Source organism: Homo sapiens, chromosome 18 (genome assembly GCF_000001405.40).
Source record: "Homo sapiens chromosome 18, GRCh38.p14 Primary Assembly".
Lineage (NCBI taxonomy): Eukaryota > Metazoa > Chordata > Mammalia > Primates > Hominidae > Homo > Homo sapiens.
In genome coordinates, this window is record NC_000018.10 from 4446259 (window position 1) to 4471452 (window position 25194).

A 25194-nucleotide genomic window follows, 5' to 3' on the forward strand; every position below is an offset into this window, starting at 1 on the left:
CGAATGGGATTGTTGCTCTTTTGGGGGGCTCCAGGACAAAGTTTGAGGAGTTTCATGATGACCTCAAGAGCATTTTAGAAAAGTAAATTTTGATGTGAGTTTAATCAGATCCTAGAGATTAGACATCCCATTAAGAAGCTGCTATGTATTCCAGGCATAAAATGATGAAGTTGTGAAGTCAAGCAGCAGCAGCAGCAGCAGCAGCAGAACTCATACAGTACAACCACCTTGCTCTCTAACGTAATGAGTAAGAAATTAAGACTAAGAGAAGATGGGTGTTTTGCCTAAATTTAGAATGTAATTAAAGGCTTTATAAAATAACTATGGATATAAAAGTCTTGAAGAACTAAATAATAATATCTTTGTCATTTCAGAATTGGAAAACATTTCTCAAACATATCTTATTGGTACCATAAAGAGAATTTAAAATGCAACTATTTTAAATTTAAACATAATCTTTTCATCCAGAGACATCATAAAAATGAGAAGACAAGCCACCAACTGAGTGGAGATAACTGAAATGCCTATTACAGAACAAAACTCTGGTATCCAGAATATATAAACAGCTCTTACAAATCAATAAGTTTAACAAAAAGAAGTAGGAGAGTGGGGAACATGTATGAATAAGGAATCCACAGCAACTAGAATATTAATAAAGAGAGGGAATAAATCATCAACATTACCAGGAGACATGGAAGAACAAATTAAAACTACAATGAGATATCATTTCATATCCATAAGATTGGCCAAAAATAAAATGTATCACCAAGTGTTGACAAGGATATAAAACAAAAGGTGTTCTTATAGATTGCTGTTGGGATCATAAATAGGTACAACCATTTTTGGTAATTTGCATTATCTGCTAGATGTGAAGATACGACTATTACCCTACTGCAATCCCCCTCCACCCTAATCAGAGTCCCCTTTGTTAGCACAAGGTGATGTACACGTGAATGTTCACATCAGCCTTATTTGGAAACATCTTAAATGTCCATCAACAAAGATTGATACCTTTATCATGATACAGTTCTACAATGGAATACCATATATCAGTAAAAATGAATAAATCAGATCTACATGTCATCAAAATACTGAACAATTACAGTAAGGTAAAGAAGACTACAAGAGCATTATTACTACTTATAAATAGTCTAAAAAAGCAAAACAAGACTATATTGCTTAGGTACACATACATACATAGCAAAGAATAAGGAAATGCATGCATAAGAACAATAAACACAAAACTCAGTGGGCTGAGTCCCTCTGAGGGAAGACATGAAGAGTACACTGAAGTCTCAACAGTGTATGCAATGATTTATTTCACCATCTGGGTGGTGGACACAAAGGGGTTTATAATATTATTTAATTTTTGGTGTTCCTGAAATATTTCACAGGAATTTTTAATGAATAATAAAGAATTAAAAAGAATGTGTGACACAGGTACAGAGTAAAAGAGAAAGGAAAGAGTCAAATATTGCTTGAAAATTTTTCAAAATATTTACTCCCATTTCTACTTCCCTGGACTTGATTCCCAATAATGTAAGCCTCACTAAAACAGCCTCTTCATGCTTCTCTCTGTCCCAGTCTGGTGTTAGACCCATCTACTCCTATCAGTCCAAGAGGCCACTTCTTCACGTCACTGCCTATTCAGAATCTGTCAGTGGTTCCTATCAAATCTAAACATTCTTGTATAGCCATTAATGACCCTCTCAATCAAATTCATCTTCAGGTCTAATTAAAGTGGAGGAACTGGAGGAGAGAACCATCTTCTGGACCAGGAACATGCCAAGTTCATTTGCACCTCCACGTCTATGCAAATGTTTTCTCTATCTGAAAGTCGGTCCTTCTTCCTATGTAAGTCTTACAAATCCATGAAAATCTAGCTTCAGATCTTCCCTATTGGAAGCATTCCAAAATGATCTCATTCTCTGTTGAGCCCCTACTCCTACAGAAAAGCCCAAAATAAGTACATTTGAGCACCAGTTTCATTCTGTAACCCATTATTACTAATTATTTCCTACATTTTAATCGTATTCTTTGTATTACATTTCAAGCTACCCAAGGAGTTTAACTAGGTCTTGCTCTTCTATATTCTTCACAGTAATAAGTACCCAGGAGATGTTACAAATATTTTTTGTTTGCCCATACTTGGAAAGGCTGGATATATACCTACCAAAATACCTGACATCTATCATCAAGATCCCTTAGGATTCATATCATCAAAGCAGAGTGTTTTCAATTATCTATAAAGCACATGCAAATCTAGAGGAATTATTATGCACCATAGTTTATAAAAACATGGTGCATGTTCGCATTCTGTCTCACCATTCCTCACAGGCCATTCGAAGCTGAATGGTAGATGTGGTATCTACAGCAGGGTGCCACATGGAAGGTTAACATATCCCCAAGGCTGGCCCACCTCACCACATCATTCCAGTAGTTCAGAAGCAGATAGTAGAACAGAATACACTACATGTCTGGCCAGAAACAAAACTAGTATAAAAAATTCATGAAAATACCTAGAAGGCTGTGATTCCACATCAGTAAAGATGTTAGATTCCAGTCTCCCCTGTGAGAGCCAACCCACATCTACGTACCTACATAGAGATCAGCCTCAAGCAAGAAAGGCAGTTGTAGCTGCTTCTCTGCCTCCCACAACACTTTCCACCTCATCCCTGTGATCTGATTTATTCTTTGAGTCCTTGGTGAACTTTTGCTTTCTTCCACTTACAAACCACATAGGGGCCACTGTCTCTGGTCTCCCTTGAGCTTCTGGTCTCCTAGAGGGAGACAGGCATATACGCAGAAAATGAAAAACAAAACTAGGTTATAATTACGTATCAGACTCAATGGAGACACAAAAAGGAGAACTCAATGTAAGAGGTGAGGGGTAGGAAAGAAGTTTATGCTAAGCCTTAAAGGGTCAGAATAAAGTAAGACAATTAATCTACTAATATGTTAATTTTGAATAAGAAGGAGGAGGAAGAAGAGGGAACAGGAGTTTGTTTTTTCTTTGCTTCCTTTTTAAAATCCTTATTGTATTTCAAAACCTTACCTCTGCTTGCCAGCAGAGTGCATGTTGCCTAGTTGGGAAATGTAGCACTGCGTAGCCCATCACCTTATATTCAGGCTGGGATCAGCTCAGTGTTTACCAGGTATTAACAGAGTAAACTTAGGACCAAAGAACACAGCATCTGACATTGCAAAGAAGTGCCATGCAAAAGCTGTGTAACACCATCCTCAGAGTTATGGCCCTTATGCACTAAGAATACAGATGTGCATTCACTTGTTTATTCATTCACTCAACCAATGTTTACCCACCATTTATTAAGTGCCAGGTGCTGTGCTAGGCATCAGTGATATTTGGTGAACATTCTATATTTAGTTCTTGATCTCACGGAATGCACAGTTCAGTGGGGAAAGCAATCTGACACTCACAAGTCAACACATCATTATTGACCGTAAAAGGACCATGAAAAAGGAATAAAGTGCTAAAACAGCATTCAGCTGGAGACCTTCCCTGATTAAATGACTTTTCAGCTGAAGTCCAGGAAAGAGGGAACAATGTAAGAAACAGCATTCCAAGGAGAGGGGGAAAGATTTCTTAGCCTGCTCCATAGAAGCTCTAGAATCAAGTGAGTCTTATCTGAACTACCTAGGCAAGGATTCACAGGAAAGACTTCCAAATGCATTACCACTTCAAGATTCCCCTGCTGACCCTCCCAAACTCTAAACGGAAAGCACATCCTAATTTGAAAGGATGAAAAGGTGACTTTGCCTTCTGGGTTAATGTCTACACGAAAATAGCTTTGAAGAGAGTGAATGTGCCTTGTCTTTTTGCTAGTATAGTATGATGAATCATATCAAAGAATGGTTGTTTGCAAAGTCTGAGACAAGATCAAAATGCCATTTTCCTCTGAAACTGCAGCATGTGTTTTGTAAAGAAATCTTAGTGATATCTAGCAGGGAAATTTGCAGTCCAGAAATAGACTCCACACTGATTTCTACTGAAATTGAAACCAAGAAAGAAGGGGTATCCAGGGAAAGGGTGTAATCATGAGGTTAGAATGAGGGTTAGTGCCAGTCCTCCTATCACATACTCAGATGTTCTCCAGTAGTAGAATTAAAACAGCAAGTTACTCTAGCAGATGTTTTCAAATTAGCTAAAACCGTGTCACCAGAGTAAAGCAGCAAAGCTGGAAATGTGCCCAGAGAGACCTTCCCACAAGCCGCCTGAGGGAGCCATTTAAATGTCTCTGAGCCCTCCTAGTGCAGAGATTCAGATGCAAGGCTAGGGAGATAAGCAAGTCACAGCACAATGTCTCCTCATCCAAATGCTTATCCATGGCTTCAGTAAGACCACAACTCTGCTGAATATTAAGAAAACCTGGCAAGATTGAGCAGTTCCAAATCACACACTTTGTGGTTTGCTGTTGTGCTGTTGCTTACAAATCTGATAAGAAAACATTGAGAGAAGACAGAGAAATTGTCAATGGCAACAGATGAGCAAACCATGATAAGTGAATATGAAAATGAACAGTTTGGTTGCTGGCAAATCCTAGGGAGAGGGAGGAAGGTGGTTTGCATCTTCATAACATATTCAGAACACTGATATCTAGTTCACAATTAGATATCCAGTGGGACAATCACATCCCAGCTATGCTGGTTGTCTATCCAAGAAAAAGTCCAAGGATCTGAGCCAAATATCTGTGGATATAGATCCACAGGGCTTCCTTTTGCATGAGCTGGTTTTCCTAAGTGGGATGTTACTTGCTGCCCAGTAATCATTAACTCCTATAGGAGGGAGAAAATAATAAAGCAACCAGGAAAAATCTTAAGTCAATAATGGATGAAGATAACCCTGTTTCTCACTTATACAACAGCTATCTGTCCCCTACCATTTACTAGAGAGAAGGATGGGAAATGGTTGGGTCAACACGGCTCCTGTGCAATACCAACCTCTGTACAATCAGACTAAAGAACAGAAGACCTCAAAGGGATGTCATTCACCTTTTTAACTGCCTTATAATCACACCTCATTTTTTTCTTGTTCTCAATCACATGTTTTGCTCTGTAGGTGTGTGTTTGGCAGGGTTACAGGGAAAGGTGTAGCAAATATACAGTATACAGCATTGTATAAGCTAAATAGTTACATCTTAGAAGCAAAAGAACTGGTACCTGGTATCTCATACAATCGGTTATCTGTGGGTGTCTAATAGATTAAAATGAATGTCAGAAGACTATTTCTAAATCCTCCTCTGTGGTAATGCAATGTTTTAGATCTTCCTAGGAACAGCATCTTTGGCAATTCCTGATAGACCACACAACTAGAGAAAGTCACCTTCATCGGGCAGTAACAAGAATCGAGCTACAAATTCTCATGCTTCGGAAAAAAGAAAGAAAAAACATCTTTTGAGGGACACTGTAGTTATTCCTCTCTGAAAATAGAGAACTAGTAGCACTTAGGATCTTAGGAAATAAAACAGCTCAAGATATGGGATGTTTTTGAACATTCAGGTGTTTCAACAACAACATAAAGATTTTTCTACAATGCTAGCAAAGTATCTTTTTGTGATAGTGTTTCTTTAAAATAAAAAAAATGTACAAAAGACCAACATACCACAGACATAGGCATAGATTATAACTATGAGAAGTGAGGATTGGGGAAACGTGTTTAGGTTTTTCAAGAGTCTTTTTAGCCTTCTTATTTCAATGGTGTTCCTGTACCAGGGGAAATATAATTACCAATGGAAAAAGAGAAAATAAACAAAATAACCTAAAATTGTATCATTTTCTTAATTTAAGAAAAGAGAGGTAAGTGTGATTTCTATAGAGATGAAATCTACATAAAAGTAGATTTTAATTGGATGCTTCCTGAGAGGAAACCAATTTCCTCTCCTCTGATAAACAGTGGAGCAATTTGTGGGAATGGTCATGAAGGTAACATGAATTTGAGCTGATCATAGAAATTTCACTATAGAAATACACATTAGATAACATTTTACTATTATCTCTGAATTTGAAATATTACGAGATCAGAATCAAAACACTGAATTCTTTGTTTCTGAAAGAGTTGATGTTCAAAGAATATGGTATTCATCTCGATTAAGTTGTAGATGAAACTATTACTTTGCTGCATATTAGTGAATATTGCTCATATTCACTAAAATGAGTACTTTGTAAAACAAGTCCCCCTCTTCCAAGTTTTAATTTTATATTTAAAAAAAATCAATCTAAATGGCTATATGGAACAAAGGCACACATATTTAATAGAGTTAACTCAAAGTGCATGCAGTTTCTATTCCCAAATTGGGTTGAATAGGACACTTAAGCTTAGAAGGATTTAAAAAGTAGAACACTACAATTAGTTTTAGGCTATTTCTCTATATGCGCTACATAATATTTTGGAAGGAAGGTCTTGTCTCCATTTGCTTTCACTAATCGCTAATATGCTTTTACTGGGTTTTTAGTCCTGGCAGAACAAAGCTTATGTTGATGGAGAAATTAAAGATGCTAAACCATGAAAATTCCCTCCTAGGGAAAACTCATATACTCATTATTTCCCCAAAGCACAATTGCTTGTGTGAGATTTAAGAAGCCTTGTCAGAAAATTATTTTGACATATTTAAAAGAATGTTAACCAGTTCCTTTTGCCCATATTTATATTGCCTGTAATGTTTGAGATAAAGTATTGTATTTGCAGACTAATCTTAGAATGAAATATAGAGAAATAGATAGCTATAAATTTAAAAAAATCTATGTATGCAAGTACATTCTTCTTTACTCACACAAGGTAACTAACATTTTCTCTTAAGTAAATTAGTTTTTTAAAAATTCACAGAATTTTATATCTGCGACTAGGGGTATTGCAAGGCACTAACCAACTGAAACAACTTTACATTTAAGTACTAAATCTAAAGGAAATTAAGAACAGGGCTACTGACACCTGACTTCTATGAACTTTCTTGTTTCATGCCAGAGTATGAATTTTCTGAACCAAGGGTAGCGTTTATAACTTAAACTTTTTAAAATCATACATTTTGCATAGACATATTCATTATTTCTTTATAGGCTTGAATTTCCTTTTAAAAACTTAAAGAAAACTTTATATTCTTCTGGCATGAAATAAATTAGGATCTTGTAAAATTTCTTGCCTCCATGTCATTTCCGTTCAAGTTTTATTCAAGGAATAAAAAGTATTGCTTTATATGCAAAATGACCTAGGCCAATAGAAAGTCGTTTCCTGAACTGAAATCGTGCTATAAATAACAGTCAAAGGGCTGTTCTTTTTAGAACAGCTCTTTCAGGGTAAAAAATAATTTGCAGGATGTTTGCCTTAGGACCTAAAATCGCTTTCCTAGTTCTCAGCATTTCTCATCTCCATGTCTAACCACATCTTAGACTGATCTATCCTCACCTTCTACGAAGCCATTCACGAAGACCACAAAAGCTAAAAGATCTGTCTTTAATTGGTACTTTTATTATATGTCTTTCCTCGTAATTCCCTAACTTCACGTGTTATGGAAGGAGGCAGGGAGCATTCACCTCCCACGACCGGGAGTCAGTCTCTGTGTCAGGAGTAAGGAGTGAAGAGTCTCGCCTGGATCCACAAAAGACGTGACATCTCCCACCCAGCGTCCCACTGCTTGCCGCCTGGCTACCTTTAACCCCTTGCCCTCCGCACATCCTCCCCTTCTCTAGCAGAAAATTCCGCAGCGCTACGGTCGGGCTGGAGGCAAGCCCTGCAGCCGGGGGCGAGCGCGGCACTCGGACACAGGCACTCAGTGTCTCCGGCGCCGGCAGCCGAGCCACGGGCCACCCCTTCCCACGGCCTCCCGGTGCCACCCAGCGAGGCCGGGACAGCGCGCCTTCCGCAAAAAGCGCAGCAGCCGAAGTCCTGAAAGCAGGGTCTTCATCGCCGCGGGCCCTCCGAAGGTGCCTCTCCCAGCTGCAGCCGCCCCTCAATGAAAGTGCAATGTGTTATCTCGCCCAGCCCAGAGGAGAGGTCCCTGTTTGGCCTTGGTTCCAGCCCGGCTCATTCAATTCGCTGAATGTCGGGTCTCCCGGCCCGCCCCGCGATTCTCCGGGAATTGGCCTTGGCCGCGGGCAGGGGGCGACTCTCCAGTGACCTCCTCCTTGGACCCCATTTCTCTCTCTCTCTCTCTCTCTGTGCCTGTCTTTGTGTCTCTGTTTCTTTGGCTTTCTCTTACAAACGCACGGGGGAGTTGGTCCTTTTCCACAATGCCAAAATGTCACCCAAAAAGCTAGTGCAACAACTTGCTTTGCAAACGACCCAGGAGCCTGCCGAGAAAGCCCTGCGGGGAGCAGCCCCCTCCTCCCCTGCAAGGTGCATCGGGGGTGGGGTGGGGGTGCGAATTTGACCGGTGGACATGACCGGGACAGGGGACCGGTGTTCTCCTCCCCTCCCCCTTCCGGGACCCTGTCGCAATTAGAAATCCTTCCCCTGCCTGGGTCCCCGTGGGGAGCCGCGAGGACCGCATGGCCGGAGAGGACGCGCTCGCCCCCGAGATCCCAGGTTACCCGGAGGGCCCGGGAGTGCACCCCGGGCGGCTGAAAGGGTAAGGAGCGCGGACTCTCGAGCCAGCGGCCGGGGGAGCCCAGCCCGCAGCCCCTCCGCGGGCGAGGGAAGCGGCGACCGCGCGGCAGGCAGCAGCCAGGAGCCACCCAGCGCGCCGCGACCGCCGCCGCCGCGCACGCCCCAGCCCCGCGGCGCAGCCCGGCGTTACCTGGCCGCGTCCCGCAGTCCGGCCCTCGCTGGCTGCGTCCGTCCGTTGGTCCCACGAGCCTCGGAGGAAGGAGAGAGATGTCCCCGCGACCAGGACCGGCTCTCAGCGAGGTGACGGGAAGGACTCGAGAGAGGAGCCGAGGCGGCGGCGGCCGTTCGCGCCGCCTATGCTGCCGATTCCCCGAGGCGGAAGGTGTCCGCGAGGCCGTGTCCTGGAGATTGCGGCGCCCGAAGCGCAGCGCTCGCCTCTGGAGCGGAGGCTGAGCGCCGGGACGCGGCGGGCTGGGGCTGCAAGGCTGGGCTGGTGACCCGCCCCTGGGTGCATGTTAATACGGTGGGGAGGAGGAGTCCCGCGCTTCCTCCGCCCAACCACCGGAGCCGGCGGGCGGGCGGCGGCCGCGGCCCGGAGCCAGCCGCTCCCACCCGCCCCAGCTACTACGGCGCGGCGCGACCGCGGGCTCCGGCCCCAGCCCAGGCACGTGCGCCCAGGCCGCGGGGAGGCGCCGGCGCCTCCCGGAACGCGCTCCTGGCCTGCGAGTGCTGCCCGCTCAGTCTCCGGGTGGGAAGTGCGCTCGCCCCGGACCGAGGGGAAAGCCCAACATCCCCGGGATGGAACAGAGAGGCGGCCACCCGTGAGTGGGCGTGACCCATTGGTTCCCTTGCGCAGCATCTGTGGAGAATTAAGCTTTCCCCTCCTCTCTTGCCAGCCGTTGTTCCTAATCTTGTCTTTTTTAAGGGAGGAAAGCAGGAGAACTCATGACACTTTGTATCACAGGAAATCAAGTTGGTGGACAGAGGGTTTGCTGACCTCTCCCGTCCCTCCTCAGGGTCCCTAGGAGAATTTTTGAAGAAGTAATCGGCAGCAAGGAGATGGGGGCAATAGAGAGTCTCAGACTCGCAGGGACCCATGTTCGTCCCCAGCGCCACTACTTTCAAACCGTTATCCCTCAGAGCTGTTTCCTCACCTCCACAACAACTCTCCCGGGTTCGATGACACTATATATCCCACCAGTTCATCTTGGTACAGGCCAAAAGGTAATTCAAAAAGCGAAACGAATCTCATCTCCTGACCTGTGCCCTCGGTAAAGTCCCCAGGTTCCACCCCAAGTACACTTGGAAGCCAGGCCCCTCCACACAGGCTGAGCACCACGCTTCCACAAACTGAAAACAGAGAGAATCCACTTGGTTTCAAAGTTAGAATAGGGATAGCGGCGTGAGTGGGTGAATTGCGATGTGGGTCAAGGAGAGAAAAAAGTAAATCAATTAAGTATTTATTGAGCTCCTGCGCTGCCCACTTAATTGCAAACGTTACAGTAGTTAAAATAATCGTGGTTAATCACTGCCTTATTATTTCCTTCTATTAAAAAAAGAAATGGCATCTTCATGGAGAATGTCCTTTGTTCTACAGCTTCCTGAGGGAATATTATGCCAAAAAGTACATAATCTTTATGTAATTTTATCCAGAAGTTATAGCATAAGATTTAGCATCTGTTTTGTGTGATGTCTAATTATAAATATTAATAGAATATCCTTTTAAAGACAACACTTCTAAAAATGCAAGGAAGTGAAAAACAGTTTTCATAAAAATATGACTCAGATAAATAACCTCTTTCCTGCAATTTCACTGAGTGATTTTCCATTAAAGAAAATAACAATTACTGAAACCACTAAATGGAGGTAAATTCTCAGCATTGTAATATCATGAGCACCGACGCTTTAGCAATGATCTAAAAGATATTCTCAGACAATTCAAGAATTACTATAGGGGCCCAGCTCAGTGGCTCACACCTCTAATCCTGGCACTTTGGGAGGCCGAGATGGGCAGATCACTTGAGGTCAGGAGTTCAAGACCAGCCTGGCCAACATGGTGAAAACCCATCTCTACTAAAAATTCAAAAGTTAGCTGGGTTGGTGGTGGGCGCCTGTAATCCCAGCTACTCTGGAGGCTGAGACATAAGAATCACTTGAACCCGGGAGGTGGAGATTGCAGTGAGCCGAGATCACACCACTGCACTCCAGCCGGGGTGACAGAGCGAGACTCTCAAAAAAAAAAAAAAAAAAGAATTATTATAGGGACACTTCAAATCGGATTCCCTGAAAAGGCAAAATACTGATATGTGATAATAGCCTTCATAATTTGGAAAATTTGCCTTTCCAGATTTGTAAATATGTTTAATTAATAGATTTTCTTTTCTAATTTTTAAATTGATATATCACAGTTGCACATATTTTGCAGGTAGATACAATAATTTGGTATATATATACAATGCATAATGATCAAATCAGGGTAATTGGGATATCCCTCACCTCATTTATCTTTTCTTCGTATTGGGAACATTAGAATTCTTCTCTTCTAGCTATTTTGAAATATACAATAAATTAAACTATATAGTTCCTCTGCTGTACTATTGAATACTAGAGCTTAATCCTGGTATCTAACCACGTTTAATCCATAGATTCTTCCAATGACATCACATAAATAAGAAGGTCAGTATCATTGTCAGGCCCTAACTCAAATTAGATGAATTCAGTGAATAAAATTACTTGAAGTGGAAAATCAATTTTCTTACAAAATTGTTATGGTAGATTTAACCCAGCAACAATAATATCGATGTAACATTGCTATTATTAGGTTTTTCTGACTGTAGGTGACAGAAACCAAAGTTGGCTAACTTAAGTGAAAATAATTTATTAGAAAAATATTGAAAGCTTCCAGAATTAAAGAGAGGACTGGAAAGCAGTCTTGGAAACAGTCAGGATTTGAGGCAATACCGATGGGCTAGGAAGCAGGAAAGACAGCAGTTTGGTTTGGTGCTGCACAGTCTACTTGAGAAAATACCAAATTTTTCTCACCTTCCATTACTGAATCAAGATTCAAAATCACAGGGTTGAGTATTTATTTGCTTGGCCAAACTTCATGGAGGCACTGACTCCCTGGCTATATATACCAGGACAGGAAGAAGAAACGTTTGATTTCTCGACTTTCAGGATGGAGGGTGGGCACCTGGATTTATGACACTTCCACAAGAATACATAATTGAAGATAGGTAATTCCTCAAAATAAAATCAGAGAGTGATGAATAAGGAGGATTTGATGCTGAGATTTTTTAAAAATGATATACATCTGGTACTTTGGCCATGAAATTTATATTCTAATTCTTATAGTTACTTGAAAACAAACAATGATATTGTGTAAGGAAAACTGATAGCACTTCTTTTCGTTGTTGTTATTCGTATGCTTGTTTTTAGTTAAGAGATTTTTAAATGTTGTTTAAATATCCTATGGCTGGTTACCTTATTTGTATTCTCATAGCACCTGTAAGCACTACTGCAAGCCAGAGCTTGTCATCTGGGCTCATTTCATCACTGAATAATGGCCATGAAAAGATGTCCAAGTTCTAATCCTTGGAACCAGTGATTGGTGCCTTACCAGTGATTGGGCTTCCGGGTTACCCTAGTTGGCCCAATTGTAAACATAAGGTACTTATAGGAAGGAGTCAAGAAAGTCAAAGGCAGAAGAAAAAGATGGGATGATGGAAACAGAGGTTGAAATCATGCACTTTGAAGATGGAGGAAGGTGGTCATCAATAAAAGACTATAGGTGATCTCTGGAAACTAGAAAAAGTGAAAAAAGGATTCTCCTCTAGAGTCTTCCAAATGGAACACCGGTCTACTAACATCTTGATTTTAGCCCAGTTAAACTGGTTTTAGACTGACCTCCAGAGCTATAAGATTAAAAAATTTGTGTTGTTTTAAGCCATCAAGTCTGTAGTAATTTGTATCAGCAGCCACAGGAAACTAATACAGACAGCTTACCCAGGCGTTGGGAGCATGCTTTCAAAAGCACCCTATTGGTAGTGGGTGGCATGGTAGCCCTCACTATAGAAGAAGCGCAGAAAAGTATACCTACTTTTGGAGAAGCTAACTCGAAGCTGGTTAAGTTAGCAAACATGTTGGTGAGAACAGGAAATTGGAAACCATGGACAGATAGGGTTCCTATGCAAGAGTTTCCGATTCTCTAGTTACATCAAAATGGCGGCACTCCTAGACCACAAAATCGTCAGACAGGTAAAATCCCATGAAAATGAAGCGTAGAGGGTGGTGGGGGGCAGCCCTGCAATACGGGCTGCGGCGGTACACGGGGACCCGGCTGCAATGGCTGCGGGGGTGGCGAGCAACTACTAAACTTCCTGGGGAAGCGAAATAGAATTTCGTAAGAACAAAATGGATAGAGAGGAGAAAACCTGTGGTGGATGTGAAGGCCCTGGTGCCATGTATGTCAAATTGATATCATCTGATGGCCATGAATTTATTGTAAAAGGAGAACATGCATTAACATCAGGCACGATAAAAGCCATGTTGAGTGGCCCAGGTCAATTTGCTGAGAACGAAACCAATGAGGTCAATTTTAGAGAGATACCTTCAAATGTGATATCAAAAGTGTGCATGTATTTTAAAATGAAGCACAGTTGTGAAAGAAGAAAGAACTCAAAGGGCATTTTGAATGGTGAATGTGAACGACATAAATTTATTCTGTATTAATAGAGCGTTCTTATCCAGTCTCATGGTTTCGAGTAACATTAAAATGGTGATAACTTCTACATCCTCTCAGATCAGTTTAAGATTTGTAAATCCAAAGGCCCACTAGACAAATCATGAAATTTCCAGTTATCTCAAACTTAATGGGTCTGCATTAAATTCACCATCATCTGCCTTTCACCTCCATTCACATTTATTTCATTTCCTGTTATACTATATGAATTCATGGCACTATTATCCACCAAGTCACTAACACCAGACACCTGTGAGTTTTCTTAGACTTCTGCACTCACCAATCACCTGCAATCCAGCACCAAACGCTGTTGACTTCTTCCACTGTCTGAGTAGGTCTTGAATTCTTTGTCTATTTCCATTTCTATTATATGGCCCCATCAGGCCTTCATCGTCTCATCTCCAGGTTATTATACTATCTTCCTATCTTCTTTCCATTTCCTCAGTTTTGCCTTCTCTTCATTGCAGCAGGAGTGGTCTTCTAAGAATGCAACTCTGACCATGCTACTTCGGTGCTTTAAAATCTTTAATAATGACCATTATTTACCATATAAAGTTTATTTATTTATAATGACATACAAGGTTCTTCATAAACGTGGTTTCATCTTCTTCAGCCATTCCTCCCATGATTTGTACATTATGCCTCGGTAAATCAAACTGCTGTTTATAATGCCATTTATGTATCATGCTCTGTAATAGATCTTTAACTTTTCCTTACTTTATTCCCTGTCTTCAATTCCCTCTCTCTGCTTTTTCTGGCTAATATTTATTGATCCTTCAAGATGGGCTTCAGTATACCTCTTGCCTAAAAAAGGGACATTAGGTTGGATTAAGTGTTGCCAATGCTCACTGTACCTACCACTATCTTAGCTCCTACCACATTCTATTACAATTTTCAGATTATGTAGGTTATGTTTTTAAGACTTTAGCTATCCCTGTTTGGATCACCAATACCTAGCATAAAAATGATCTCTCAATAGATAATCAATATGTATTTATTAAACTCGATTGACCTGAACTGCTCTGAGAATATATTGTGGTGTCAGGATATACCCTATTATTTAATAAAAACATGTGTATGATACAATATAACATGTATCCAAATTTTAAAACCCATCCCTCATCAGGTTTAGTAAATGGGGAGCTTTCTTTCTCGTGCTAAACAAAAACAAACAAAAAAATTGAAGAAAGATGTTTGAAAACACCCTGACTAGTTTTTCTTTATAGTAGCCAATCCAGTGAAATGAAAGGATCTTAACCTTAAATTCTTTTCACTGAATGTTTTGCTTTATGTTTTATTTAACAATTTTCATTAAAGATGTAAATATTGGAATACAATGGACTTAGCTTCTGTTTTACTCCCTTCTTTTATTCCCTGACATTCTTTTAAAACTTAAATTTTTAAATTGATACATGATAATTGTATATATTTATGGAGCATGGTGTGATGTTTTAGTACATGTATATACGTTGTATAATTATCAAGTCAGAGTATTGAGCATATCTATCGCCTCATACATTTATCATTTCTTTATGGTGAGAACATTCAAAATTCTCTCTTCTAGCTATTTATAAATATAAAATATAATATTGTTAGCCATAGTCATCCTACTGTGCAATAAAGCACCAAAACTTGTTTATTGATTAATCTACACATGCTGTTTCCTCTTCTTGTCTTCATCCCCTCTCCCTCCTTTATTCTTCTACCCATTGTCATATGGCTTGAGCCTTGCACATTGCAATTTGGCTTTGTTCTGATAAAAGATGTCTAATTTTCTCAACAAAAAGACCCTTTGTAATTCCTATTTCCTTGATCTCTAAATAAAATTTTAGGCTATAGACAACTGATTTTTTAAAAATTCCACCAGAAATTTCCATAGCTTCACTCTGGCCTGTTTGTTTTCTACTTCTCTGCCCCCAGGTTTTCTTACTACCCCTCCTAAGTTGCAATTTTCATGTCCCCAGGATGGTAGCTGAGGCGATGACATCTCTGAAGAGAAAGAGCCTGCAGCCAGGAACCCAGGGAATCTCTGGTGGGAGGCAACCCAGGGAAACAGTGGTACAAAAACCAAGGAGTGGGAGAATTTCAGGAGATGAGACTGGTTGACGCTGAATTTTAAACCAACATTTTTGCACGAATAATGTCTCCACCAGAAAATACGTACAGCACTCACAAATTCATCATCACAAACCAAACAGGCCATCTTCCATCCAGTCAGTCTTTCCACTGGTGATTCTTGATTCCACCACATACCCAGATACTGAAGACAGAAATATTAATATTAAAGTCATTCTGTATCTCTTTCTTCCACATTATTGCTACATCTAGCCCCTAAGTGTTACCAAACTCCTAAAACAATAAGCTATGTATTTTACTCCACTGCTTAAATTTTTTTCAGAAGATCCTCTCTGTCTTCAAGGTAAAATTGAAAACAATAAGTATGACCTGTAAGCCATTCACAACCTTTTTCTTCATTAAATTATCAAATTAATTCATTTGAGTGGAGTGACTTTTCACATTTTGAAATACTTGGTTAAAAACTGTATTGAAATAATTGTAACAGGTTGGGAATAACTATTTGTAGTGAAGAACAAATATGAAGGAATTCAAGAGTAGTAAGTGCAAAAAAAGAAAATATATACATCTATATACAGTAGGAACTAATGATAGTAAATGAATCTGGGTCAACTATCTACCAGCATAGTGGTAAATGGGGGAGAAAGAATCAGAATATCCCAATAACTAACAAAAATTAACATATTATTGTATAAATTTTGAGAAGAGACATGCTCCAGATTTTTATGTCTAGAAATATCGTATTTAAGAGTTCACTTTCAAGCATTTTAATTTTACCCTTCAAGACATTTTACCCTTTCAAAAACTTTCTTGTAATTATGTAGTACTCTAATTTCTCCAGATATGTAAATGTTCTTGACAGACTACATTAAGTAAAATTGTTTTAAAAGAAATAACAAGATTAGGATTTGACTTTTAATTTCACAGGCAATATATCTAGGCAGGTGAAAGAATAATTTTATTATTTTTTAATTAATCTTTTTTCATATTGCACTAAATTTGACTGCTCATCTTTTTCAAATCCAGTTCACATTTAAGTTTTTTATATAAGATAGACATATTCTGGATCTGTCAGGGAGAAATGCCATTTTAAACATGACTCTCATTAAAGAGAATCTAGATTAAAGAAGTATTCACAATACTGGAATGACCTGAATTAACATAAACCAGTAACTTAACCAGCAATGAGCATGCACATTTGTGTAGAATCTTATTTTGTTTTCATTGTTGTATACAGCGGATTTAAAAGGAAAACACCTTCCTTTTTCAGTAAAAGAATGTGTAGTTCAGGGAAAATCAGCAGTGAATATCCAGTGATTGCATGAATAACTGATGAGTTACACACAAATAATTCTGTGAATAAGCCACTGTCCTCTAAGAATCAGATTCTTTAGATGCAAATTTGTCGGAAGATGTAATTTATTCAATCCTGAGAAGCACAGCTCCCACACTTGTATTATTGATATTGATAAGCCCATATTAATACATTTTAAGATACATTTTTTAAAAAGGTGTGTATATATTCATGTTTGGGACACTAGAAAGACCAAGATGGACTTCCTAGGGTTATTTAAGACATTCTGTTTCTAATATTCATTCTTTCTAATTAATCATAGTCTGCTTATGCTCTATTTGATACTAAAAGACTTGCAGGAAAACAGACAGACAGACAAACAAGTAAGGCATGGCTTCTGTCCCTAAGAATTCTCCACTTTAAAGTATAAATTAATGAAATAATATTGGTGAAATGCTTAGTTCAAATCTTGTGGGAAAGTTGGCATTCAATAAATGGTAGCTGATGATGATGTTCACAATGATGATGATTACTATAGCCTTGTGAGCATTAGCATTTAGAGTGATAACATATCACATGATAATAATTCATATGCCAGCAACCTGAACTCTCTGGAATATAGCCCTAACATAGGCTCTACACAACACATAGATATTACTAAGGCTATACACTGAAGCTCATCTGAGTGTTCCTTAGACCTTCGTTCTTAATTTACACAGGGAATGTGGCAGAAGCATGCTAGCTGTGCACCAAAACATAATTGGTGCACAGAGCTAATCTGCTTTCTCCAGCTACCCTACAGTTACGACGATAGGATTGTGTTCTAGTGAAGTGAATGTAGGTAGAAATTATGTCTGTCACTTCCAAGTCTGCCATAGAAACCTCTTACAACACCCTCCATTACCTCTCTCCACATGGCTATTTGGAGTGTGTCTTGTATTGGAAATGGCAGAAACCCAAAAAAACATACAGCCTCCCAGTTGGATATTTTATTATTATCTGTTGCATTTATTGTTGAGATTTTGGGGTTTCTCAGCACAGAGCTAGTGTCAATTTATCTAATACAATGAAGAAGTAAATGAAAAAATATGAAGTGTCTACTGTATTCTAGACCTTTTGTATACAATATTTTATTTATCCTCTCAAGCAAACCTTTGAACTAGCCATTGATAGTTTCACTTAAGGATGAGGAAACTGATGCTTGAGTTAAATAAGTTTTCTGGGATCCACAGCCGGTGAGCGGCAGAGTCGAAATTTGAACCTCAGTTTGGCCTCAGAGCTTGTATTTTCACAACACATCTTTCTCTAATCTTTGGTTGACTTAACAACTGAATAAGAGTTCTATTTCTATGACAGTTTTATAGCAATAATTTAAAAAACAGATATTTTTAAAATTATGTTGTCTATTATGGAAGCAATAGACAACAAATAAATCATAAAAAGCTGAAACAAAGTTGCACAAACCGTAGACTAGAAGCCCAGGGGCATTTGTGTGGGTAAACAGTGCTAATTAACTTTAAAGATGCTGACATTATCTGTACATTATGGCCCTAAAATGTGGTTAACATACTTAATGATAATCTTGCATTAGTAAGAAAAAGACAATTGTATTTGTGTACAATGTTTAAATGGCAGAGAATTGTGCAATTTCATTCAACAGTTTTGTTGAAATATTGATGTACAATAAACCAAATGAATTAAATTGTACAATATAAATTCTAATATATATGTATGTGTAAATAAATATGTATATATATTTGACACATATGTATAGATACAGGTGGGTATCTATATATGTGTGTGTATACACACAGGCACAAACACACACTGATAGAACCATCATCGCAATAAAGATAATGAACACATCTATTACCTCCTAAATTTCCCTCTCCCTTTTTATCTCCCTCTTATCATTTTCCAAACCCTCTCTTTCCCTGAAAACTCCATTCTGCCTCTTGTCACTTCAGATTATTTTATAAAATGTTTGTATAAATGGTATCATACAGTATGTACTGCTTTTCCCTCTAGGCTATTTCACTCAGCATGTTGCAGGGGTCATCCATGTTGCTGTGTGTATTGAAATTGATAGTTCACTTCTTTTGGTTGCTGAGTCATTTTCCAGTTTTTGGCTATTAGAAAATACGCTTTCATGAGCATTTGGGTGTAAGTCTTTTTAAGGAGATCTGTTTTTATTTCTCTAAGACAAACACCCAGGAGAGTGATCACTCAGTCATATGGTGTGTGTTGAATTTTTAAGAAACTGCCTTATTTCTAATGTATTTTGATCAGTTTAGAGTCCCACAGTGAGTTTATGACAATTCAGGTTCCTCCATATCCTCACTAATACTTGCTATGCTCAATCTTTTTAATTTTAGACATTCTAATAAGTGTGTACAGGTATCTCCTTGTCATTTTAATTTGCATTTACCTAATGACTAATGATGATGGGCATGTTTTTATGCGCCTGTTTGCCAATCATACATCTTTAGTGAAGTATCTGTTTGAAATTTTTGCCTATTTTTAATGAGCTGTTTTCTTTTTATTCAGTTTTGAGAGTATTTTGTATATTGAATACAAGTCCTTCATTAGATACTTGCAAATAGTTTCTCCCGGACTGTGGCTTGTCTTTTCATTCTCTAAACAGTGTCTTTCTAAGAGCAGAAGTCCTTATTTTCTATGAAATCCAATTTGTTATTTTCTTTATTTATAGATTATACACTTTGTGTTTTGTATCTAATAAATATTTGCTTAAATCAAAGATGCAAAGATTTTCCTCTTTTGTTTTCAAGAAGTCTTACAGTTTTAGGTTTCATATTTATATCTATGATCTGTTTTGAGTTTATTTTTATATATCATGTGAGGATCAAATTTTATTTTTTTTGCATATAGGTATGTAATTGTTTCAGCACTATTTGTTGTACGTATAATCTTTTTCCACTGGACTATCTTTGCAACTTAAAAAAAATCAATTGACTGTATATGTGTGGGTCTGTCTGGACTCTGTATTCTGTCTGTCCCATTGATTTTTTTTTTTTTTTTTTTTTTTTGAGACGGAGTTTCACTCTTGTTGCCCAGGCTGGAGTGCAATGGCCCAATCTTGGCTCACTGCAACCTCTGCCTCCTGGGTTCCATGATTCCCCTGCCTCAGCTTCCCGAGTAGCTGGGATTACAGGTGCGTGCCACCACGCCCAGCTAATTTTTGTATTATTTATTTATTTATTTATTTTGAGACGGAGTCTCGCTCTGTCGCCCAGGCTGGAGTTCAGTGGCATGATCTCGGCTCACTGCAAGCTCCACCTCCTGGGTTCAGGCCATTCTCCTGCCTCAGCATGCCGAGTAGCTGGGACTACAGTCGCCTGCCACCACGCCCGGCTAATTTTCTGTATTTTTAGTAGAGACAGGGTTTCACCGTGTTAGCCAGGATGGTCTCGATCTCCTGACCTCGTGATCCGCCCTCCTCGGCCTCCCAAAGTGCTGGGATTACAGGCGTGAGCCACTGCACCCAGCCTTGAATTCTTTGTTTCTCTTCATGTCAAAACCACACTGTTTTGATTACTGTGCCTTTACAATAAGTCTTGAAGTCAGGTTGTATAAGTCCTCCAATTTTGTTCATTTTTTTGAAAGATACTTTGTTATTCTTGGTCTTCTCCATTTTCATATGGATTTTAGAATCACAGTTTTAATTTCTAAAATTAAATAAATAAAAGACTGTGGAGATTTCAATTGGAATTCCTTGGAGTCTAAAGATCGACTTGGAGAGAAATGATACCTAACATAAACATGGCATATTTTGCCATTTTTATGTGTTTATCTCAGCAATGTATTATAGTTTTCAGTACACTAATTCTGCACAACTATTTTGAGAGTTATCTGAAGAATTTTATATTTGTGATGCTATTACAAATAGTATTATTTCACTTTCTAATTGTTCACTAAAAGTATATGGGAAAAATGATATTTGTGTACTTTTATCAAATTTGCTAATCTTATTCATCTTAGTAGTTTTTTGTACATATCACAGGATTTCCTAAATAGACAACAATGTCATCTGTAAATAAAGATGGCTTCACTTTTATAACTTTGATGCCTTTTATTTTATTTTTCTTGCCTATGTTCTTGGCTAGAAACTCTAGTGCAGTATTGAATGGAAGTGATGACAGCAGTCATCCTTGACATGTTTCTGAGCTTAGCAGGGATACATTTATGCTTTCATCATTGATTATGATATTATAGTACTTTCAAAGATGCACTTTATCAGGTTGAGAAGTTTTCTTTTTTGAAAATTTCAGCTCTTACTTTAGATTCAGGGGATACATGCGCAGGTTTGTTACAAGGGTATATTGTGTGATGCTGAGGTTTGGTGTACGATTGAACCCATTACCTAGGTAGTGAGCATTGTACCCAATAGGCGGTTTTTCAGCCTTTGCCCTCCTCCCTCCCTCTCCCTGCTTGTAGTTTCCAGTGCCTATCATTCCTATCATTGTGTTATTTAGCTTTTACATAAATGGGGATTTTCAAAATAAATTTGTTACTGATTTCTAATTTATCTCCAAGTGAAAAATGTAGTATAGATCATATCATTTTAACATGGTCTAAATCAAATTCTTTGAAATTTATTGAAATACTGTCATATCATGTGCAGAGGCAGAAGTCAAATAATCCAGTCTTGGATCCAACATTGAGTGTGTATACTCCATGAGGACATTGACTACGAGATCCACATTTTTTTTTGTAGCTATATCCCTAGAACCTTACAAAGTCTGACACATAGTAGGTACAAAATAAATATTTTCTCAATGACCAAATGAGTTAGTTAATAACAAAGCTGTGGTCATTTCTCCCATATAAACCCCACATGTGGGGGGAACCAGCCTATTATTCCTACAGTATTTTATTTTAGCTAGAATTCTTTGAACATCTTGTATATAGAAAACTAGATTATACTAGGTGCTTGAAGGGGATACATAGATGTGTAAAACCTAATCTTTGCCTTCAAATAATTTTCAGTCTAGAGGGAGAATGAGAAAGAGAAACAGCTAACTATGATACAAGACGTAATTATACATATGTGAAGCCTACAGAAGCATTGCTTTGGCAAAAAGGAGTAATTAAATTTAATAGAGATGCCTTCTTCTGAGTGCTAGAATAATAATCTGTATGAAGTGGCCTCTAAAGAAATGTTGCTAGTTTATTGGAAATTTGATAATATTCATTTAATTAGTCCTGTGATAAATGAAGGAATTTTTCCCCATGGAAAAGATTCTGCTTAAAAAGACTAATGAAATAAAGTGCTTTAACATTTTAAGAGGGGCATCCCATCTGCTTCAGATGTTTCCCTGTCCCCTTGACTATTTAGATTTGGAATCTCAGGCACCAATCAGGTCTGGAACCAGTAGCATAGATTTATGCTCTGAGCAATTATTTGAAAGTATTAAATTAAAATAAAGCCTCCTGACATTTCAGTCAATTTCTTTTCCTTCTTTCTAGCTGATAACATCTAAGTTAGGAAAAATGAGGTAGCCACAAAGAGTACCTCAAAGAATTTAGACTTCTGCCCAATTCTTATGTTAGACATTCCAATACTGTACAGGCAGCTGGAAAGAGATTTCAGGTAGAAGTGTGACTGTTTTATGTTTCAGAAGCTTGGCTTTTGAAGTTTTATTTCACAATCTAACACCTTTGACTCTGCTCACCAATGCAGTGCTCAGCTCTCCTAACCACTCCTGGGAAACGAGGGGGTCAAATTGTTGAAGTGTAAATGTGCTATCTGTTCCCATTGTTCACATACACACATTCACCGCATCATGGGGAAACCACACCGGCTCCTTCAGCAGGATGCATTTAGCTTTGATAGAATTAGCAATAGGGAGCCTCTGAGGTGTTTTAGTCAAGGATGAGGAACACTGAAAAAAAAAAAAAAAAAAGACAACCAAAAAAAAAAAAGCACATGTCATTGAGGTGCTAACAAAAGAAGAGACATAAAATATTTAAAAAGCAACATTCTTTAGGGCTCATTTCCATTCACATAAAGTTCTGCAAAATGTTCAACTTGCTTGGTCTTTAAGTCAATAACAAGAAAATGCAGAGAGATAGAAAATGAAAAATTAAAGAAGAAAATGAAGAAAAGGGGGATTTTTGAAAATATTTTTCACTCCTGAGGTGAGCCTAGTGAGACTGAAACAAGCCACCAACCAGAGGCAAACACATTTCTCACCTAAAGTCATACCTGAGCTGCCCTTAGCTTAAGGAAAAACTGAATGGATTCGATGATTATAACAATGACTTTAAAACATTTTAGCAGAATATTTTTCTCTTTTTTCCTTTTTTTGTGGGGGATGCTGAGGTGGTTTGGTGGGGAAATCACCATTAAAATCCATTTAGAAAGTATTAAAAAGCATAATTTCAAAGTCTAAAATAGGTCAATAAAGGTACTATTTTTAAAATAAGGTAATTAATTAGTTAATTTTTTTGAGACAGGGACTCACTCTGTCACCCAGGCTGGAGTGCAGTGGTGATCATAGCTCAGTGCGGCCTTGGACTTCTGGGCTCAAGCAATCCTCCTGCTTCAGTCTCTCGAGTAGTTGGGGAAAACGGGTGTGCTACTACGCCCAGCTAATTTTTTATTTTTCTTTTTTTTTTTTTTTTTTTAGAGTCGTGGTTTCACTGTGTTGCCCAGGCTGGTCTTGAACTACTGGGCTTAAGTGATCCTCTCACCTTGACCTCCCAAAGTGCTAGGATCACAGTTGTGGGCCACCATGGCCAGCTTCTGATAGACCAGATTTAACTTAAAAATCCTAATCGGTCAATCATTAATAAATGTATAAAATTCAAAATTTACATGCTGGAATATCACAGCAATGCCAAATTCCTCTGAGTTTTTAAGTGCTTACTCTTGTTATTTGTACTTATTTCCCCACAGATCAGCAACAAACATTTTGCAGCCCAGCTACAATCTACGAACTTCTTAGAAAAGCTGGTAAAGAGAGCCAAGGGTCAAGAGTTAAGTCACGTACATACTGTTGACCAAGTGATCCACCAAAGTGCAAAGGAGGCCACACACTTTGGAAGGTCATCCAGGCTCTGGTCTATTTCTGCTTTTAGTACTCCTCAAATGGCACTCAGGCCCACCAGGCTTCCCCTTGCCCCTACTAAGTTGAGTAGTCTGTTAATCTCAGTGCCGTTCTATGCAGGTTGGAGATTGATTTGGCTCCTTCCAGCACCTAGTTCTCCTGCATTCCTGCTGCTGTGTTTTAAACACTGCTGGTGATATGGCTCTGGGGATATCTTCCTCCGAGCTAGTAGTTATTTGCCTTATTATTTTTCTGTTTCCTCAGAAAAGGGCTCCGCAACATGTAAAAGACAATGAAATGAAAGAGGAGGACACAGGAGAACACAGACAGGTACATGGGCTATTCATTTGTGGAGAGTCCTTGATCCTTGTCTTTGAAAAACACTGTCTTTGGAGAAATTATAAAGTAAAGATTAAATAACAGTTGGAATAAAAGTTCTGTGATGAGAACTAAGTAGTTGATTGCAATGGATGATTTGAGATTTCACAAGTTAATACGTGAAATGGCAGAGGACAAAATTCCCACCTTCTACCTACTTTGCACCTAAAATGTGCAGATGCTTGAGGCTAGACATGAGCACACAGCCATGCTGCCCTGTCTCACTTTAAATCAATAATCACTAAGGACAGTTGGTCCTTACTGCTGCCCAGCTTCCCACCCATTTACCTAGTCTATTATTCTCTCACCATCCTACTTCAACTACATCCCTAGTTGACTAGAGCTTAGGACAGTCAGGAACTGACAGATGGGTTGAGTTCAATACTCTCCTCCACTCCCTATTCTTGCTGACAGCAAGAATGAAGAGTGATGTGCTCTGGGCCACTAACATGGAGACAAGCCGCTCCAGTTCTCCCATAGAATGTGGCTCAATTTCTTTAGAAAAGAGCTTAAGACATTTCTTTTGGGCAGCTTATCAACTAATGCAGCTGTTCTGAGTATCAGGCTTTCCATTTATCTAATTTTATCTCCTCTGTTTGTTTCTTCTTCCTTTTTGCTCTTACTAGTGCATTGCATATGCTGTGCCAGAGCTCCCTGGAATCCATTTCATCTGCCAACATTGCTTTGTTGAAATGTCTTACCTATTGATATGCGCAACAAGTAGAGTGCACATTGAGTAAAAGAGTCTCACACTCAGGTACATCATCATAAAATTTTAATACACCACTGTTAAAGAGAGAATCCAGGTCAGGCACAGTGGCTCATGCCTGTAATCCTAGCACTTTGGGAGGCTGAGGCGGGTGGATCACTTGAGGTCAGGAGTTCAAGACCAGCCTGGCCAACATGGTGAAACCCTGTCTCTACTAAAAATACAAAAATTAGCCAGGCATGGTGGCACACGCCTGTAATCCCAGCTACTTGGGAGGCTGAGACAGGAGAATTGTTTGAACCCAGGAGGCAGAGGTTGCAGTGAGCTGAGAACAAGCCACTGCATTTTAGCCTGGGCAACAGAGTGAGA

General features: G+C 39.2%; 1 protein-coding gene and 1 pseudogene across 11 annotated transcripts in view, besides 1 other annotated feature; one reads left to right on the forward strand and one right to left on the reverse strand.

Moving 5' to 3' along the window:
- DLGAP1 (DLG associated protein 1) overlaps positions 1-9049 on the reverse strand; it is a 959276-nt gene extending 950227 nt beyond the window's left edge. For all 11 annotated transcript variants that reach the window (NM_001398527.1, NM_001398526.1, NM_004746.4 and 8 more), the window contains exon 1: positions 8748-9049. The gene's annotated coding sequence lies outside the window, so the exon portion shown is untranslated. The remainder of the gene's footprint in view (positions 1-8747) is intronic.
- Positions 9069-9198: a silencer, noted in NCBI's record as "silent region_9259". NCBI's record gives its function as "represses an Ori minimal core promoter by ATAC-STARR-seq in GM12878 lymphoblastoid cells {active_cell/tissue: GM12878}" and the evidence as "EXISTENCE:reporter gene assay evidence [ECO:0000049][PMID:35858748]".
- ELOCP27 (elongin C pseudogene 27) lies at positions 12843-25194 on the forward strand (annotated as a pseudogene).